Source organism: Homo sapiens, chromosome 2, assembly GCF_000001405.40.
Source record: "Homo sapiens chromosome 2, GRCh38.p14 Primary Assembly".
In the NCBI taxonomy this organism is placed as follows: domain Eukaryota; kingdom Metazoa; phylum Chordata; class Mammalia; order Primates; family Hominidae; genus Homo; species Homo sapiens.
Window position 1 is genome coordinate 182,755,671 of NC_000002.12, and position 21,163 is coordinate 182,776,833.

The 21,163-nt window shown below is 38.5% G+C and overlaps 1 protein-coding gene across 5 annotated transcripts in view; it reads left to right on the top strand.

Moving 5' to 3' along the window:
- The window catches only part of DNAJC10 (DnaJ heat shock protein family (Hsp40) member C10), a 78,208-nt gene that overhangs the window by 39,414 nt on the left and 17,631 nt on the right, over positions 1-21,163 (top strand). For all 5 annotated transcript variants that reach the window (NR_073366.2, NR_073365.2, NR_073367.2 and 2 more), the window contains 6 exons: positions 644-799; positions 2,022-2,155; positions 3,167-3,220; positions 3,490-3,637; positions 7,012-7,131; positions 19,646-19,750. Coding sequence is in view for 2 of the 5 variants with exons in the window: in NM_018981.4 (NP_061854.1) it covers positions 644-799; positions 2,022-2,155; positions 3,167-3,220; positions 3,490-3,637; positions 7,012-7,131; positions 19,646-19,750 (717 nt within the window). In the remaining 3 variants the exon portion in view is untranslated. The remainder of the gene's footprint in view (positions 1-643; positions 800-2,021; positions 2,156-3,166; positions 3,221-3,489; positions 3,638-7,011; positions 7,132-19,645; positions 19,751-21,163) is intronic.

The window sequence follows — 21,163 nt, forward strand, 5'->3', positions numbered from 1 at the left end:
TTGGAACAAAGAATCTGTAGAAAGGTGTAGTATCTCCAGTCAGAATGTCAGAAAAATGAGATAGTAGGCTTTCCACTAGTAATTAAAGAATCATTTCCAAACCAGTCATTCTTGGTTCTAGAACAGAACTTTATGGCCTCTGTAGACATCCAGGCAGCCCTTGAAACTCTTTTATTATCCATGCAGAAACTTAAAGTTGCCTCTTTGCCTGTTATGATTTTAGTGATACATAGAGATAAAGGATAAATAGACCTTGATTTTTTACAAAACTAATGAGCAAAATCCAAACTTAAAAATCTAAGTTAGGTTTATTTTCATATTTTAAGATAATTCACATTGGATTTCTTTTAGCTATCCTTAAGCATCTTTTGGTTTCTCAAAAATGGGAACTTTCTAAAGGACATACACAGATTGAGCACCCCTAATCCAAAAATCTTAAATCTGAAATGCTCCAAAGTCTGAATTTCATGTTTAGACTTGGGTTTCATTCCCAAGATATATGCAAATATTCCAAAATTCAAAATTCTCAATACTTCCAAGTATTTTGGATAAGAGATACTCAACCTGTACCAACAATTTGCCAGGAATATATGAACAGCTATGCTTTATATATATGTTATAATGGAAGCTATATTCTCTTCAGGATCTTATGAATCCTTCAGTGGTCTCCCTTACACCCACCACCTTCAACGAACTAGTTACACAAAGAAAACACAACGAAGTCTGGATGGTTGATTTCTATTCTCCGTGGTGTCATCCTTGCCAAGTCTTAATGCCAGAATGGAAAAGAATGGCCCGGGTATAGTAAAAATAGTTTATTTTAAATCTTAACATTTACTAAGAATGTTTATTTAACAGAATTATTTTGAAACGGATGTGAATGAACCCACAACTAAATTATTACTTAATAACAGTACTGATCATACCACTTTGATTCCAGCTCTGTTTCTGTCTGGTGTGTGAATGGTATAGCCTACCATTTTTGTGTGTATAGCATCTGGTACACTTTTTTTTTTTGGTCGGGTAGCAGGGGGCAGAGTCTCGCTCTGGAGTGCAGTGGCGCAATCTCGGCTCACCGCAACCTCAACCACCCTAGTAGCTGGGATTACAGGCATGTGCCACCACGCCTAGCTAATTTTTGTATTTTTAGTAGAAACAGGGTTTTGCCATGTTGGCCAGGCTGGTCTTGAACCCCTGGCCTCAAGTAATCTGCCCACTTCTGCCTTTCAAAGTGCTGGGATTACAAACATGAGCCTCCGTGCCCAGTATATCCAGTACTTTTGACTAAACTGTTGCCAACAACAACCCAAAAATTTACCTCATATTTGTTTCAATTTTTTCTAATTTTTTTCCTGCTTTATTTTTAGAGTTTAAAAATATCATTTCCTGACATACTGTAGGACTTAAAAGTAAGAAAAAAAAGCTTTCAGCATGTGTATTTAGAAAATTTCCTGAAAATAGGCACCATGTTTTAAGTTGTAGAAGATTGGAAACAAATCACTTAAATACCAGAATGGAAAATGCAATTACTACTTCACATTTGTTTACAAGATAAAACACTAAATCTGAGTTAAAGTGATTTCTAGTATCTTAACATTTAGGATTACATATTTTTGTGCTCTTTTCAATAAAATTTTTAAGTTCAGGTGTGAGTCAGTATAACACATTAGACACCTACAAAGCTTGTTTTCATTGGAAAGAATACTTTGAAATATTGCAAAGACTTTCATTAGTTTCTAGCACTTTGAATTTTAGAAGTATATAGTTTTTTCTCATGTAACAGTTAAATGAAATAAATTGTTTAATCTGCAATAATTTTAGTAAGTACTTAATTACAAAATTAGATTACAAATTCATTAGTATAAATGGTCTATTATATGTTAAACCCTTATCCATTTTTATTGGGTAAAAGTCACTGATAAATAATATAATAACTGTTTCACCATAATAATACAATGCTTATTTCTTTATTGCAAACATATGTAAAAAGTTATGGAGGTAATCTGTTTTTTCTTTTACAGACATTAACTGGACTGATCAACGTGGGCAGTATAGATTGCCAACAGTATCATTCTTTTTGTGCCCAGGAAAACGTTCAAAGATACCCTGAGATAAGATTTTTTCCCCCAAAATCAAATAAAGCTTATCATTATCAGTAAGTATTCTCTCATATTTGAAGACATTTATTATAATTATTTAATTATACACTTAACAGTTAAGTTACCTGAACAAAATAAAAGTTAACCCAACAAATATTTATTGGGAGCCCACTACGTAAAGATAGTTTGTTAATGAACATTTCAGAAGATGAAAAGGGAGTATTGAACAGTCTCACTGTGCATAAAGCTTATAGTCTAGACAAAAAGATAAGGAAAGGAAGAGCTAACATTTATTAAGTCCTTAAACACCTTATTTGGTTTCAGGTACTATATTAGATACTTTACTCACCTTATTTCCAATAATCCTCACATATGCTCTGTGAACTAGGAATTACTACCCTTCCTACTATTACAGAGAAGTAAACTGTGATTCTCAGACCTTAGAATCCAAGGTCTAGGAGTTATCTAAGGCTTAGATAACTTCCCCAAGTCACACAGCTGCTAAGTTGAAGTTGAGGTTTGAACCCAAGTCTGTCTCAGCACCCATGCTGTTTCCACAACACCACGTGGTATTTCAGGTAGAAAACTCAAATGTAAGGTACATATGATGAATGTTATTAAACAAGTAAAAATGAACCATGGATTTCAAGAGAGGAAAGGGTCACAACTATGAGGAAATTATGAAAGGCTGCATTTTGTAGGTAGTTTTTGACATGTGTCTTTAAAAATGGGTAGGAATTTGACAGACAGTAATAACTTGAATAAAGATTCAGAAACTAAAACCCTTGGACATTCTGAGTTTCGCAATTCCCATAGGTCTACAGGAGATGTCCAGTAGACAGCTAGACATTCTGGGCTGTCTGGGGCACAAAGATACCAAGACTAGAGAAAAATACATTTGTGAGGCCTTATAACCAGAATTTGTAGCTAGGTATATTTGAGAAGAGAGATACCAGATGAAATCAATCAATATAACTTATTTTTTAAATTGCTACAATAAGATTGTTTTCTGAATACATCCAATAATAGAGAATCCTATTTACAACTAACATTTTTTCTTCTCTCAGCAGTTACAATGGTTGGAATAGGGATGCTTATTCCCTGAGAATCTGGGGTCTAGGGTGAGTAATTAAAATATATATCATTGTATAAAATAGATTCAAAGCCATTTACCCCCCTTTTATATCAATAGTTAAATTTACTGTGGGTTAAGGTTCTAGCATTTTAAATTACTTAGTAAAGTATTATATTAACCAAGATAGTACTGTACTTTATTACATTGCCCTTCCTTGACATCATTTTTAACTTAGAAAGTATTACAATATTATTGCATTTCATATGTTTGCTTTGGTTTTATATAATGAAAAATGATTTTGATCATTTGCCACAGATTTTTACCTCAAGTATCCACAGATCTAACACCTCAGACTTTCAGTGAAAAAGTTCTACAAGGGAAAAATCATTGGGTGATTGATTTCTATGCTCCTTGGTGTGGACCTTGCCAGAATTTTGCTCCAGAATTTGAGCTCTTGGCTAGGGTAAGTCATACCTGTCTTAAATAAGTTGTAGCCACATTCATGTTTTAGTAATTAGATAAAACATTGTAAGTATGTAATTTTTAGGTTTTTTTCTTAAATGTTTCCTCTGAATTTAAAAATAGCTATTATATTTCTATGACTGTAATGGTTGTAGTAGATTTCCTCTTTCTTTGTTAAAGCTTTTAGCTAACATCTTCTCTATCTTGGTAGACATCATCATCTACTAGCCATAAAAGCCAGAAACGTCTCTTTCTTCTCCCTCTTGTCTACTTTCTCCTCCCCACCCCAGTACTCTGTTGCCCTCCAGGCAGTTACTAGATTGTGTCAGTTTTATCCCCTAAATGTCTTTCAAATGTCATTTCTTATTCATCTCTACTGCTAACCTGTTTCTTCAACCCTTTATCATCTCTTGTCTAGACTTAACCATATTTGCCTTTTAAGTGCAGTCTTCCCTTGATATACTCAGGGGATTGGTTCCAGGAACCCCCATTCCATACCAAAATCTGTGCAGCTCAGGCCTCACAGTGGGCCCTCTGTATGCAGGGTTTCACATCCTATGACTATTCTGTTTTCCATCTGCAATTGCTTAAAAAAAAAAATTCCCAGTTCAAGCAGTTCAACACAGTTCAAGCCTTTGTTGTTCAAGAGTCATCTATGGTATTATACTGTCTACCTTTGTCAGTGCTGCCCTGGTGATCTTCTAAAATATTTCCCTCTCTGACTTACTAAGTTTCTTAATATGCATACATTGACTTCAGGTGTCTGATATGAGCTCTATCTCTATTGTCCACCTCACACCTTAGATTCCAGTGTAACAGAGTACTCCAGGTTCTCTGAACATGTGTCCTTATTTACATGCCGCTCCCTCTCTCTAAAATGCTCTGTCCTTACCTTGGTCATCTGTATTTTTTCTCCTCTTACTGCAAAACTCAGCTCCGATGGCACTGCTCTATTCTCTGCCCTTCTCAGTTAATCAGTGTCACCTGGATATGTTATCAAGTGTACTGATACAGTGCATATTAATTCTTTATTTATTATTACTTGAAAGATATTTAATTTGACCAGAAATAAAAGGAGCTGGATACCAATGGAAATAATTAGTTGTAGCAATTTTGGGTTTTGTTCGGTTGGTTGGTTTTATTTTTCGGTATAGCATTGTCCATCTTCCTTTGTAAATGGCTGTCTCTTCCTGAGGGCAAAGTCCATGTTTTATTTATTTTTATATCCTCAGGGCCTAACTCAGTAAATGCTTATATAAAATTAAACTGAATACATACCCTCAATGCAGTCTGAGCTTTTGGTGTTTCTTTCTGTCGTAACAGTCTTATTAGTGACCTAATCCAGATTGATAGCTTTCTTGCCTCCATAACTCGAGGAACTCTTGCCACTAGTGTTGGTATAAAACACTCAACTGGAATGAGAAAGTCAGCTCCAGTTCCACCAGTTCACACTAAAGCTTAGCATCCCAGGCCATGGGAATTTTTTAGCAGAGGGATTTTAAAGGTCTTACTAGCTATAAAAGATTATTTTTGTTATTAGCTGGTGCATCAGATAAGAGGTTTATTCTTTCCATTCTAATCTTCTTATGCTTCCTTCTGTAATAATTCTGCTTTACTCCATTTCTCATGTACTAAAAACTTTAGTTATAAACTTTGTAATGCAACTCTATATTGTATCTAGTAGAAAATTATTAAACATGAAAAAGACCATTTATTCAACAAATTTTAAGTACCAAATGAAAAGCCATTATGCTAAGTAGTAGGGCCACGTAACTCCACATGAAAGAAAAGGAAGATGAAAAGAAAGAAATTCCATGTCTTTAAGGAGATTTTAATCTAGTGGAAAGAGAAAATGGAAATAAATATAAGTAATACAAGATAATTGCTACAGTAAAATTAGAATGAAGCTGGAACAGGGGTAGAAGGGTGTCAGTGATGCCAGAGAAGGATGTTTAGAGCACCAGAAACAGTATGGTGCCATCTCATAAGTAATTGGAAATACAAGTAAGCAAATATACAAACATTTTGTAAATGACATAGACACTTACGAAATTAACATTTCTACATTTTTCTTACTTTCGGTATGCAAGTGTGTGTGTCTGCCTACATGCTTGTGCCCTAACACAAGTTAGTCTGCATTTTAGTAAACCCCTGCCTTGGGGACGAAACTAGAGGCAGCAAAGATATTTTAAGTGTCCTGAAGTGAGAGGTGATAACTTTAATCAGGATTAGGGCATTGGTGATAGAAAGAAGGGGACAAATACAAAAGACAGATAAGAATAAATAGGATTGAATGTGATAGATGAAGGATAGAGAGGAGTCTGGATGAGCCTAATTTCTGGCTTGAACTGAATGAATAGAACGAGGAAAAGTGGGTTCAGGGGACATGCTGTGTTTGGATGCTTATGCGGCATTCACCCAAAGCAGGCCAATGCGTGGTTAGATATGAAATCGAAGAGAATGATTGGGGTACATCAGCATATAGATATGTAAAACCACCTTGGGCACCTGTTCACAGTGAAAAGATTGTTGATCAAAGATGGAACTCTGATTGGATATTATAACTTGAGGGGCAGGTAAAGGAGATCCTCATGCTGGAAAAAGGAAGAACAGTCAGAGGGGTAAGAAAGCCAAGAGAGAGTAGTGATAAATGCTAAAAAAGAAAGAAAGGAGTGGTCAGCAGTAAACATCAGTTGCGCAATAAGAAGACCAAAAAGTGCCCAGTTTGGTCAAGCGGTCACTGGTGAACTTACAGCAGTTTCAGCAGAGGGAGCAGTAAGCACAGAAGACGACTAAAATGTTGCCAAATAAGCAGACAATGGGAAGCAGTGAAACAGTAGACTGCTGCTCAGGAAAAAAAAAAAAGAGAGAGAGCGTGAGAAGCACTATGACAGAGGAACCATAATCCAGGAAGGAATCCTTTCATGATTATATACATCTTCACTGGAGAATATGTGTTCTGACAGGGAGGGACTGGAGAATACAGGTGGAGTAAGTCAGCCTTCACGAGACAAAGAGTGCCCAAAGAGTCCTACCACAGCACACCCCCAGTGAAAGGAGAAAAAGATAGAAACAGAAACATGTTTATGGTATGATGTGCCAGTAGTGGGTGGCAGGAAGAAGTTGAGACATTGCAGGATAAAGCTGCTCAGTTTTCTTGATGAGGCAAAGGAGGGTTTATTTGCTGTTGGAGAGGTGGTGCTAGGTGAATAGGGGCTTAAAGGGATAATGTGGAAATAATCTTGTTTGAGTAGGAAGAATTAAAGTTTTTTAAATAAATTCTTAGATTCAAAATGTTTTATATCCTATTGCTTTGTTGTTGCCAAAATAGTTTATGCCAAACAGAAAATGGCAAACTGTATTTTTCTTTTTCAGATGATTAAAGGAAAAGTGAAAGCTGGAAAAGTAGACTGTCAGGCTTATGCTCAGACATGCCAGAAAGCTGGGATCAGGGCCTATCCAACTGTTAAATTTTATTTCTACGAAAGAGCAAAGGTATGTCCAGACTTTCCTCTGTTCCTTCCCTTAGTAGGCCAAGCTCAAAAGATGTGTTTCAGTCTGAGTAATGTTTTTTTTCTGTTTTCTCATCCTTGTCATTTTTTTATATTATTACATATTACTGATACAAGTTTTTAAAATTTACATGTATACCAAGCGATCTTAAAAGGTTTTTTGTCTTGTGGTTGATACAGACTCAATTGCCTTAACATTTTTATACTAATGAATAGGAAAACTACTAGAAAGAGACAAAAAAAGTATTATTCGTGATAATCTTTGAGTGCTGGAATTCAAGGTAATTTTCTACTTTTCTGTGAAAGGTTATGGTGACTGTTGAGGTCACTAAGAATACTCTATAATACACACTGCTGCTTGGAATAATATTTCCTTAGTATATTTCTATTCAGTATACTTTTTACTGAATAAGTTTCAAAGTAATGAGCTTCCTTTGTGGGGAGGAAAGAACAATGATAAAGTATTTGCCATGTACTCATGTTTTCTGGTAAAACATTAAAAATAGATAATTTCAAATATTTTTATACTTTTTGTCCAGAGCTTATAGCTTGCAGTGAATGCCAAGAATGAGTTCTCAGACAATTCCAGCTGAACGGGGGCAAGATAGCTCTTCTAAGAGAGTCCACCCCAGCATTCATCCGCACAGTATTTATTGAAAGGGCTTGTTAAACCACAAACATCCACTAGATGGCTTGAGGTCCAGTCGTGAGACACCTGTGGCCTTGTAAAAGCACTCAAACTGCATTCTCAGGAGGCTGTTTTTAGCGTTCCTTATCACACCACACACTCCACTCCTGTCCTGTTTTCGGGATCAAGGAATTTCATTCTCATGCACAAATAACATACACACAGTGCCTCAGTATTTTTCCATGCCCCGACCTCAAATGCCACGTACATAAGGTTGAATATATTGCCATGCTCCCCCGATGTCTCCCTCTTCTTTAATTCTTAGCACATGCTGGTCATCCAATGCAAGGTAAACTTCTATTGTTCTTCCTTGGTCATAGATACGTTGGGTGGCAGCACAGAGCCGTCTGCAAATGCCTAGCAAACAGATAAAAAAAAGAATAAGTACAACGGCCATCACCTAAATGCATATGTTTAACCCAGACAACCAAGTGTTGGGGTTTAACCAATGAAAACTTTCTTGTAATTGCTGAAGGGTACTTGTTTGTAGTTGCTGTGACTATTCTTCAAGTTGTTCAATTTACACTCAAGAGTGGAAATTTGAGAAGACAAATAGTCGTGATAAGCCCCTTGCAGATGTGCTTTCACTCTCTCCCAAGCATATTGGGAGCTATTATATGGCAGAGGTGTGACACAGAATTATATTGCCAATCACAATGTAAATTTTGACGGGTAATGAATGCCTGCTGCTGATCCCCTAGCCATTCAAAAGTGGCTTCAAGGGTCTCTAAGTGAGACAAAATAGTTTTATCAATATTTACCTATTCCTGAAATTCATGGGTTACATTATATACCATGTGGCTTATCACTGAGGCTGTGTGAATAGATTCTGTCAGAGAAGCAGTTGCAGTAGCGGCAGTTGCTAATATAATAATAGCTGAGAGTAAAAAGGCAACTGAAGTGGCCAGAAATCTTATTTTTCAAGTATGAGACAATGCTTTTCTAAATAGGTGCAGGGTGGAATCCTCTTCCTAGCTCCAAGTTAAATTTACAGGCAGCCACCATTCTGCATGCCATTTTAAGATCATGACACAGGTTATATTTAATTATGTAACGTTTTGATGAGAGAAGCATGTAGCATACCAACTACTGGAAGAGACTTTAATACTATAAAAGGATTGATTCTGCTCTATGTTAGGAACACCTTGCCGAAACAAAAGTATATAAGGGTGCATAGTACAAATCAAGACTATGTCGGTAACATTATTATGCAGAGAGAGGGTATAGTTGCCACCGCTAGTAATATACTCACCATGGGAAAGAACCCATTCAAAAAAAGGAAGTCCTAATCTCCAAATCTGGGTATGAGCATGGCTTAAAGCTTGTTTCCCTTTTACTTGTAATATTGGTCCTAAAAGCCCATACTCTGACCAGATGATAGAACTATTGGAGGGACTCCTAAATCCAATAGTCTGATCTGCAGACATAAGATTACCATGGGGACCCTAATCAAGTAAGGTGTCATTATCAAACAGAGGCTCTTGATGCAGCGCAGGCTGTTTGCATGGCGACCACTGGATGGCCTCACACTTATATCGCCAGTCCGTACTCAGACAGCATATAGGAAGATCAGGCACTTGTGTAGCTTCATTAGAGACCTCAGTAAGATTAGTGCTAACAGCAGACATAAAGGTCAAGTTTGCAAACTTAGTATCCCTTTGGGGCTGGTAATAAAGATACTCCTGAAGAATGAGAGTAACACACTTATCATGTGCTATTATGGGGAAAAAAAGGGGGATTACTAGACAATAAAATCAAGTAGTAATTAAGTTTAATCCATCCCAAATTTTCAGTTAAGGGGTAAGACAGGGGCATCTATCAACCTCCTGTCCCAAAAGTATCATTGGATGACAAAGGCAGGTCAGCATCCCACCATGTAATAACATTAAAAACGGGGATTTAAAACATGACTCCAATAAACATGTTCTTGAGCTGATCCCACTTGGCAAAGGACAAGAATTGCCAGCCACCCCAACATCCATGTTTGTCTTACTTTCTCAGAAGTTTCCCCAGTTACCACCAGATACTTAAGAAACCGATTCCATGCGGTTGCGAGGGCTTCCACAGCTGCAAGCCAAATAGATGCCTGTTGATTCAATTTCTTTAGCTGTCCCCAGGTAGTGTTAGGTGCCTTCCAAGTCATCACCTTCATTGTTGTGGTCGATTCTCTAACAACAGGTCCTGTTCTCGAAAAGAGAGCCCCATATTCCCCGTTTTTTGTTTAAGATATATATTAAGAGTTTGATAAGCTTGTTTAACAATGGCTTGACTAGTTGAGGTATAAGGAATACTAGTTTTGTGTTGTATGTGCTAAAGTTGCAATGCATATGCAAATCGAGCACTAAGCTAGCAAGGTCTATTATCAGGTTTTATAGTTTGTGGAAGGTTTAAAGTTATAATGGATTCAAATAAATGACCAATTGCATCTTTAGTTTTTTTTCTGGTCTGGGGGTAGCATGTATTAGGCCTGTGTAAGTGTACACGGTAACGTGGAGAAATTTAAAACGTTTAAAGGGTGGATACTGAGTAACATCAGTTTGCCAAATAGCATTAGGCACCAGACCTTGTAGGTTGGCACCAAGCCTTAAGGAAAAAGGGGAAAGAGAATGCTGTTGGCAATCAGGACAAGTTTTAATAATCATGCGAGCTTGAGCAAGTGTCAAATGAAACTGTTGTTTAAGAATCCAGGCGTTCTGATGAAAAAAATCATGATCAGCTGGACTCGCAAAAAAGCAGGAGAATCTGCAGACCACATCTATGGTCATACTAGAGCATCACCTTGAGCATTCTTTTCTGATAAGGGACCAGGTAGCTTAGAATGAGAGCGAATATGTATGATGTAAAGAGGGTGATGATGGGACCGAGGAGCTCTTGTGCTGGAAGAAACAAAGCTAGTAGGGGTTCATTAGTAATGCCCTTCACATGTGCAAGATTTAAATGAGTAATACTATACACCATGTAAGCAGAATCACTAACTATATTTATGTCTTGGTGAGGAAAAGTTGGTTGCATGCTGCCTTCTAGGTTTTATCTCAGATAGCTCTGGCTTTCTTGCTACCCACAGAGGCCTGGGGCAGGAGAGTTGCTAAGATGCAACTAACTTTTCCTTATACTCCAGGGAAGCAGAAAAAAGACACGGCCAGAAAGGCTGATGCTGGAAATAGGAAATGAGAACTTGCATATTAGGAAGACTGTCATAATCAGCCACTTTCCTTCCCTCCTGTAGGCACCCCTCCAGCAGGGAAGTTTGTTGAGGAGACGCAGCCACCTAATCATACAAATGTTCGCTGACCGGGGGTATAATCTAAGAACTGTCACTTGGGCGGCCTCTAATCTACTTAAGGGGGATGGGAGGTGCTGTTGCCTGAACGGGGCCAACAGATGCAGGTCCCTTTAAGGTTGGAGGAAAGAAAGGCAATGGCTTTTCTGTAGGGGGAGGAAAAGGCTCCAGTCTGTCCTTATCCTCACTAGAAAAAATATACTCCTTATGCCCTACAGAAGGGAATCAAGTAGAGAGAGGAGCACCCCCGTGCTGTTCTGGTTCCTGTTTTTCCTCACTAGAAAAAATCTCTTCCTTATTCCCCATAGAAGGGAATGAAGCGTAGAGTGGAATCTCTCCCTTTAAATCTTCCAAATTCCTTTCAGGTGGAGATAATGGGCGATCTGGTGGGTAAAGAGGATACCACGCAGAGCGTACCGGTGCCCAGGTGGCCAAAATAGTAGCGTTAATAAAATGACCTTGCTCATTTCCTCTTTTCAGGCAGTGACCTACCTGCTTCCATAACCCTAAATCTAAGGTTCCGTGATCAGGAAACCAAGGGCATTTCTGCCAAATTAAAAGCATAAGCTTGTGTAGAGCTCCAGGATCTACAGTGCACTGGATAGCCTTAAGTAGCTGTTGCACTGTTTTAAAAAATACTTTCTGTTCTTTGGTCATTTCCTGACCCATGATAACCCAACCCCTGGTATTTTATGCATGGGTCCCATCCTCCTGATGGGAGTCAGGACTGTCCCTTACTGGGATTCCTCGAAAATTGATGAGCTCTCCTCCTTCACACATAACTTCAAGGTGATCACGTCGAGGGCACCACTTGCAGAGCTTATAGCTTGCAGTGAATGCCAAGAATGAGTTCTCAGACAATTACAGCTGAGCAGGGCCGGTGAGGGGGTGGGGGGCAGCTCTTCTAAGAGAGTCCACCCCAGCATCATCCGTCCACCAAGTATTTATTGAAAGAGCTTGTTAAACCACAGATATCCACTAGATGGCTTTTTTGAGGTCTGGTCATGAGACACCTGTGGCCTTGTAAAAATGCTCAAACTGCGTTTCAGGAGGCTGTTTTCAGCATTCCTTATCATACTACACACTACACTCCGTATCCTGTTTTTAGGGTCAAGGAGTTACATTCTCATGCACAAATAACATACACACAGTGCCTCGGTATTTTTCCATGCCCCAACCTCAAATGCCATGTACATACGTATGAATATGTTGCCGTGTGCCCCCCACATTTTGAAGGAGAATTAGGTTAAGATCTGATGTTATTTATTGGTGGTTACATTTTGTGATGAATAGGGCTAAATTAAGAAATTGGATGATGAATTTCAGAAATCTAGAATTGCCACACATCTAGATTTTTCAGTGAAGGTTTTTGATTTGTCAAGAATCTGTCTTAAGAACAATCTAGAGCAAGCAGAACTTGATGGAGGTGAGAGGCAGCTTATATCAGAGCCTGAGTCTTCATTTCTTTGAATCAACAGCTCTATTTCTCAGTTTTCAGAATAGCTGAGAGATGGGTGACATAAATAGGGATCTTCTTCAGATAATATCAGAGAAGTATCAATTTAATGAGCAGTTACAAGAGTTAACCATACCATAGACAGAGCTGTTTGAAAAGATGTTGCCATGTGTCCAGAGGAGTCCAGGGGACAAAGTTAGGAACCAAACATCCCTGTCCAAATTGAAAGACAAGGGTAGCATTCAGCCATTGAGGCCAGACAGGAAGGCCAAAGCAGAATAATGGTTGGAGTAAGGAGAAACACAAACCAGGTGGGCAGTTACACACAAAACAAAATTCTAGCACATAGTTGGGGATTAGAGTTCACACCAAGATTAAGACAACAGGTGGCCCCAGATCCAAATAAGCAGGTCAGGATATGCTGACCTGTTCCTTCCCCTGCTTTTCAGCCACCTTCCTGCTGTGCGCAGATGAAAACTAGGAGATACATGTTGCTTTCCATTACTGTTGTTGGTCATGGTTGGGCAGTGCTAATGATTGTATTAGAGTGGAATGAGTTCGGTCCTCTGGGAACATCTTTTTGTTTGTTTGTTTTAATTATACTCTAAGTTCTAGTGTACATGCGCACAATGTGCAGGTTTGATACATAGGTATACATGTGTCGTGTTGGTTTGCTGCACCCATCAACTCATCATTTACATTAGGTATTTCTCCTAATGCTATCCCTCCCCCAGCCCTGAACTCCCCAACAGGCCCCAGTATGTGATGTTCCCCCCACTGTGTCCAAGTGATCTCATTGTTCAATTCCCACCTGTGAGTGAGAACATGAGATGTTTGGTTTTCTGTCCTTGTGATAGTTTGCTGAGAATGATGGTTTCCAGCTACATTCATGTCCCTGCAAAGGACATGAACGCATCCTTTTTTATGGCTGCATAGTATTCCATGGTGTATATGTGCCACATTTTCTTAATCCAGTCTATCATTGATGTACTTTTGCGGTGGTTCCAGGTCTTTGCTATTGTGAATAGTGCTGCAGTAAACATATGTGTGCATGTGTCTTTATAGTAGCATGATTTATAATCCTCTGGGTCTATACCCAGTAGTGGGATTGCTGGGTAAAATGGTAATTCTAATTCTAGATCCTTGAGGAATCGCCACACTGTCTTACACAATGGTTGAACTAATTAACACTCCCACCAACAGTGTAAAAGTGTTCCTGTTTCTCCACATCCTCTCCAGCATCTGTTGTTTCCTGACTTTTTAATGATCGCCATTCTAACTGGTGTGAGATGGTATCTCATTGTGGTTTTGATTTGCATTTCTTTGATGACCAGTGATGATGAGCATTTTTTCATGCATCTGTTGGCTGCATAGATGTCTTCTTTTGAGAAGTGTCTGTTCATATCCTTTGCCCACTTTTTGATGGGTTTTTTTTTATTGTAAATTTGTTTGAGTTCTTTGTAGATTCTGGATATTAGCCCTTTGTCAGATGGGTAGATTGCCAACATTTTCTCCCATTCTGTAGGTTGCCTTTCACTCTGATGATAGTTTCTTTTGCTGTGCAGAAGCTCTTTAGTTTAATTAGATCCCATTTGTCTATTTTGGCTTTTGTTGCCATTGCTTTTGGTGTTTTCGTCATGAAGTCCTTGCCCATGCCTATGTCCTGAATGGTATTGCCTAGGTTTTCTTCTAGGGTTTTTATGGTTTTAGATCTTACGTTTAGGTCTTTAATCCATCTTGAATTAATTTTTGTATAAGGTGTAAGGAAGGGATCCAGTTTCACCTTTCTACATATGGCTAGCCAGTTTTCTCAGCACCATTTATTAAATAGGGTATCCCCATTGCTTGTTTTTGTCAGGTTTGTCAAAGATCAGATGGTTGTAGATGTGTGGTGTTATTTCTGAGGGCTCTGTTCTGTTCCATTGGTCTATATATCTGTTTTGGTACCAGTACCATGCTGTTTTGGTTACTGTAGCCTTGTAGTATAGTTTGAAGAAAGGTACTGTGATGCCTCCACCTTTGTTCTTTTTGCTTAGGATTGTCTTGGCAATACGGGCTCTTTTTTGGTTCCATATGAAATTTAAAGTAGTTTTTTTCAATTCTGTAAGGAAAGTCATTGGTAGCTTGATGGGGATGGAATTGAATCTATAAATTACTTTGGGCAGTATGGCCATTTTCACATTATTGATTCTTCCTATCCATTAGCATGGAATATTCTTCCATTTGTTTGTGTCCTCTTTTATTTCCTTGAGTAGTGGTTTGTAGTTCTCCTTGAAGAGGTCCTTCACATCCCTTGTAAGTTGGATTCCTAGGTATTTTATTCTCTTTGTAGCAATTGTAAATGGGAGTTCACTCATGATTTGGCTCTCTGTTGATGGTGTATAGGAGTGCTTGTGATTTTTGCACATTGATTTTGTATCCTGAGACTTTGCTGAAGTTCCTTATCAGCTTAAGGAGATTTTGGGCTGAGATGATGGGGTTTTCTAAATAAACAATCATGTCATCTGCATACAGGGACAATTTGACTTCCTCATTTCCTAATTGAATACCCTTTATTTCTTTTTCTTGCCTAATTGCCCTGGCCAGAACTTCCAATACTATGTTGAATAGGAGTGGTGAGAGAGGGCGTCCTTGTATTGTGCTGGTTTTCAAAGGGAATGCTTCCAGTCTTTGCCCATTCAGTATAATATTGGCTGTGGGTTTGTCATGAATAGCTCTTATTATTTTGAGATACATTCCATCAGTACCTAGTTTATTGAGTTTTTAGCATGAAGGGCTGTTGAATTTTGTCAAAGGCCTTTTCTGCATCTATTGAGATAATCATGTAGTTTTTGTCTTTGGTTCTGTTTATGTGAAGGATTACATTTATTGATTTGCATATGTTGAACCAGCCTTGCATCCCAGGGATGAAGCTGACTTGATCTTGGTGGATAAGCTTTTTGATGTGCTGCTGGATTCAGTTTGCCAGTATTTTATTGAGGATTTTCACATCAATATTTAGGATTTTCACATCGATGTTCATCAGGGATATTGGTCTAAAATTCCCTTTTTTTGTTGTGTCTCTGCCAGGCTTTGGTATCAGGATGATGTTGGCCTCATAAAATGAGTTAGGGAGGATTCCCTCTGTTTCTATTGATTGGAATAGTTTCAGCAGGAATGGTACCAGCTCCTCTTTGTAGCTCTGGTAGAATTCAGCTGTGAATCCTTCTGGTCCTGGACTTTTTTTGGTTGATAGGCTATTAATTATTGCCTCAATTTCAGAGCCTGCTATTGGTCTATTCAGAAATTCATCTTCTTCCTGGTTTAGTCTTGGGAGGGTGTTTGTGTCCAGGAATTTATCCATTTCTTCTAGCTTTTCTAGTTTATTTGTGTAGAGGTGTTTATAGTATTCTCTGATGGTAGTTTGTATTTCTGTGGGATTGGTGGTGATATCCCCTTTATCATTTTTTATTGCGTCCATTTGATTCTTCTCTCTTTTCCTATTAGTCTTGTTAGCAGCCTATCAATTTTGTTGATCTTTTCAAAAAACCAGCTCCTAGATTCATTGATTTTTTGAAGGGTTTTTTATGTCTCTCTTTCAGTTCTGCTCTGATCTTAGTTATTTCTTGTCTTCTGCTAGCTTTTGAATTTGTTTGCTCTTGCTTCTCCAGTTCTTTTAATTGTGATGTTAGGGTGTCAATTTTAGATCTTTCCTCATTTCTCCTGTGGGCATTTAGTGCTATAAATTTCCCTCTAAACACTGCTTTAGCTGTGTCCCAGAGATTCTGGTATGTTGTGTCTTTGTTGCCATTGGTTTCAAAGAACATCTTTATTTCTGCCTTCATTTCGTTATTTACCCAGTAGTCATTCAGGAGTAGGTTGTTCAGTTTCCACTAGTTGTGTGGTTTTGAGTGAGTTTCTTAATCCTGAGTTCTAATTTGATTGCACTGTGGTCTGAGAGACAATTTGTTGTGATTTCTGTTGTTTTACATTTGCTGAGGAGTGTTTTGCTTCCAATTATGTTGTCAATTTTAGAATAAGTGCAGTGTAGTTCTGAGAAGAATGTATATTCTGTTGATTTGGGGTGGAGAGTTCTGTGGTTGTCTATTAGGTCTGCTTTTTGCAGAGCTGAGTGCAAGTCCTGGATATCCTTCTTAACCTTGTGTCTCATTGATCTAATATTAACAGTGTGGTGTTAAAGTCTCCCATTATTATTGTGTGGGAGTCTAAGTGTCTTTGTAGGTTTCTAAGGACTTACTTTATGAATCTGGGTGCTCCTGTATTGGGTCCATATATATTTAGGATCGTTAGCTCTTCTTGTGGAATTGATCTCTTTACCATTATGTAATAGCCTTCTTTGTCTCTTTGATCTTTGTTGGTTTAAAATCTGTTTTATCAGAGACTAGGATTGCAACCCATGGTGTTTTGTTTTGTTTTGTTTTGTTTTGTTTTTTGGTTTCCATTTGCTTGGTAGATCTTCCTCCATCCCTTTATTTTGAGCCTGTGTGCATCTTTGCACATGAGATGGGTCTCCTGAATACAGCACACTGATGGGTCTTGACTCTTTATCAAATTTGCCAGCCTGTGTCTTTTAATTGGGGCATTTAGCCCATTTACATTTAAGGTTAATATTGTTATGTGTGAATTTGATCCTGTCATTATGATGTTAGCTGGTTATTTTGCCTGTTAATTGATGTAGTTTCTTCATAGCATCAATGGTCTTTACCATTTGGCATGTTTTTGCAATGGCTGGTTCCAGTTGTTTCTTCCCAAGTTTAGTGCTTCCTTCAGGAGCTCTTGTAAGGAAGGCCTGGTGGTGACAAAATCAGCATTTGCTTGTCTGTAAAGGATTTTATTTCTCCTTCACTTATGAAGCTTAGTTTGGCTGGATATGAAATTCTGGGTTGAAAATTCTTTTAAGAATGTTGAATATTGGCCCCCACTATCTCCTGGCTTGTAGGGTTTCTGCCGAGAGATCTGCTGTTAGTCTGATGGGCTTCCCTTTGAGGGTAACTCGACCTTTCTCTCTGCCTGCCCTTAACATTTTTTCCTTCATATCAACCTTGGTGGATCTGACAATTATGTGTCTTGGGGTTGCTTGTCTTGAGGAGTATCTTTGTGGTGTTCTCTGTATTTCCTGAATTTGAATGTTGGCCTGCCTTGATAGGTTGAGGAAGTTCTGGATAATATCCTGAAGAGTGTTTTCCAACTTGGTTCCATTCTCCCCATCACTTTCAAGTACACCAATCAAACAGATTTGGTCTTTCCACAGAGTCCCATATTTCTTGGAGGTTTTGTTCATTTCTTTTTACTCTTTTTTTCTCTAACTTTGTCTTCTCGCTTTATTTCATTAATTTGATCTTCAATCACTGATACCCTTTCTTCCACTTGATCAAATTGGCTATTGAAGCTTGTGCATGTGTCACCAAGTTCTTGTGCCATGGTTTTCAACTCCATCAGGTCCTTTAAGGTCTTCTCTACACTGTTTATTCTAGTTAGCCATTCGTCTAATCTTTTTTCAAGGTTTTTAGCTTCCTTGCAATGGGTTCAAACATCCTTCTTTAGCTCAGAGAAGTTTGTTATTACCGACCTTCTGAAGTCTACTTCTGTCAACTCATCAAAGTCATTCTCCGTCCAGCTTTGTTCCATTGCTGGCGAGGAGCTGCAATCCTTTGGAGGAGAAGAGGCGCTCTGATTTTTAGAATTTTTAGCTTTTCTGCTCTGGTTTCTCCCCATCTTTGTGGTTTTATCTATCTTTGGTCTTTGATGTTGGTGACCTACAGATGGGGTTTTGGTGTAGATGACCTTTTTGTTGATGCTGATGCTATTCCTTTCTGTTTGTTAGTTTTCCTTCTGACAGGTCCCTCAGCTGCAGGTCTGTTGGAGTTTGCTGGAGGTCCACTCCAGACCCTGTTTGCCTGGGTATCACCAGCAGAGGCTGCAGAACAGCAAATATTGCAGAACAGCAAATATTGCTGCCTGATGCTTCCTCTGGAAGCTTTGTCCCAGAAGGGCAGCCGCCTATATGAGGTGTCTGTCGGCCCCTACTGGAAGGTGTCTCCCAGTCGGGCTACATGGGGATCAGGGACTCACTTGAAGAGGCAGTCTGTCCCTTCTCAGAGCTCAAATGCCGTTCTGGGAGAACCACCACTGTCTTCAGAGCTGTCAGACAGGAACGTTTAAGTCTGCAGAAGTTGTCTGCTGCCTTTTGTTCAGCTATGCCCTGCCAACAGAGGTGGATTCTAGAGGCTGAAGGCCTTGTTGAGCTGTGGTGGGCTCCACCCAGTTTGAGCATCCCTTTCCACTTTGTTTACCTTCTCAAGCCTCCACAATGGCAGACACCCCTCCCCCAGCCAGGCTACCACCTCACAGTTCAATCTTAGACTGCTGCACTAGCAGTGAGCAAGGCTCCATGGGTGTGGGACCCTCTGAGCCAGGCCCAGGAGAGAATCTCCTTGTCTGCAGATTGCTAAGACCTTGGGAAAAGTGCAGTATTTGGGCGAGAGTGTCCCGTTTTTTCAGGTAGTCTGTCACGGTTTCCCTTGGCTAGGAAAGGGAAGTCCCCTAACCCTTTGCACTTCCCGGGTGAGACAACACCCCCCCCAATCCCCGCCCTGGCGTCTTCTCGCCCTCTGTGGGCTGCACCCACTGTCCAACCAGTCCCAATGAGAAGAACCAGATACCTCAGTTGGAAGTGCAGAAATCACCTGTCTTCTGTGTTGATCACACTAGGAGCTGCAGACTGGAGCTATTCCTACTCAGCCATCTTGGAATGCCCTCTCAAACTTTATCCAGGAACATCTGTTCTTGCACAGTTTCGATGTTTTGAGGCTTTTGGAGTCAGTGATGCTTTTTTTTTTTTTTTTTTAACAATTGTTTCATGTTTCCGTGACACTATTATTAGTATTTATTTTAGGTACATTATGGGTTAACTGCTTTTGCAGCATTATTTCCTTGAAGAGAATAAATTTGAATTTCAAACACTTCAAGTTTTGGAACAAAAGAACTTGAAAGCATATTTAATCAAGTTTCTTAGGTGGAAATGTTATGTTTTTATTAAATACTTAAAAGATAACAAGTGTTTTTAATTTTAGAGAAATTTTCAAGAAGAGCAGATAAATACCAGAGATGCAAAAGCAATCGCTGCCTTAATAAGTGAAAAATTGGAAACTCTCCGAAATCAAGGCAAGAGGAATAAGGTATGGACTAAGCCTAGAGTTGACTTTGGCAAAAGTTGGCAAAAGTTAGCAAAATCTATTTTTCCTATACATTACATGCATCCAGAGACAACAAAATGAGGCATCAAAAAATAGTAAGATAGCTGAAAATTCTACTTTGGGAAATAGGACAATCAAAATGTAGCCTAGACACTGAAATGCTTTTAAAAATTTGGACAAGTAAAACCACTTAACAAAAAATAGTGACTGTGGTCCATGCAAAAACATGTATACAAATATTTATAGCTGTATCATTCATAATAGCAAAAAAAAGAAATGTCTGTCAACTGACAGATAAATGAAATGTGGTGTATCCATTGAATAGAATATTTTCAGCCATAAAAGGAATGAAGTACTGACCTATGCTACAACATGTTTGAACTCTGGAAAATGTTTAGTGAATGAAGCCAGTCACAAAGGCCAAATATTATATAATACTATTGATGTTAAATATCTAGAATAATCCATAGGGACAGAACGTAGGTTAATGGTTGCCTGGGGCCGAAGTGGAGTGGGATAGAAAAGAGCAAAAATGGGGTAACTGCTAATGGGTAGTAAGGAGTTTATTTTGGGAATATGGAAAAATGTTTTAAAATTAGATTGTAATGACAGTTGGACAACTCTGAATATACCAAAAACCACTAAACTCCTTTAAATGTGGGAATTTTATGGTATGTGAAATATATCTCAACAAAGCCATTAAAAAAAAAATAGTGACTGTGGCCATAAATTATTTAAATTTTGTTCAAATGTAAATAAAGCATTGAATTGTTAGGAATAAATATACTGGAGCCTCATAACACGTTTTGAATAGCAAATTTTCTTTTGTTCTTGGTGTAATCAGAATGTATTGAAACCCATATTTGTGTTGGCCCCTCTTTGAATCTTTAATCTGTCAAGAAGCAGCACAACCTTTTTCCTGTTACTCTTCAGAAGGCAGTTCAGTTTTACCTTTTTCAAATCGGTGTTACTGTAGATCATACTTAAAAACAGAACAAAGAGTCTATGAATGTTGTAGTGCTTTTAAAATGGAATTTAATACAATCACATGAGGTATCTCGGATTCTTTCCCTATGAGGCGAAAGGAGGACAAAATAGCTCAGCCTCTGGAAAGGGCTAGAGAAGACTGGCTTTATAGCACCATATTAGACAATAGGTTCTACTGTAATCCAGTTCAAACTGCAGACCCCAATAGACAAAGCCTTACAACCTACCTCAAGAATATTTTTTACGAATCTGAAAGGTAGGAAAGAGTTATGAGTCTGTATTTTCTTGGTTCCACTGAACAAACATGTTTTTCTAGTGTTTCGCTATATTAGTTTTCTCAAGATATTTTATTTTGAAAGGTGTAACTTTTATCTCATTAAATATTTGAAATTTAAAAATTGTCATAAT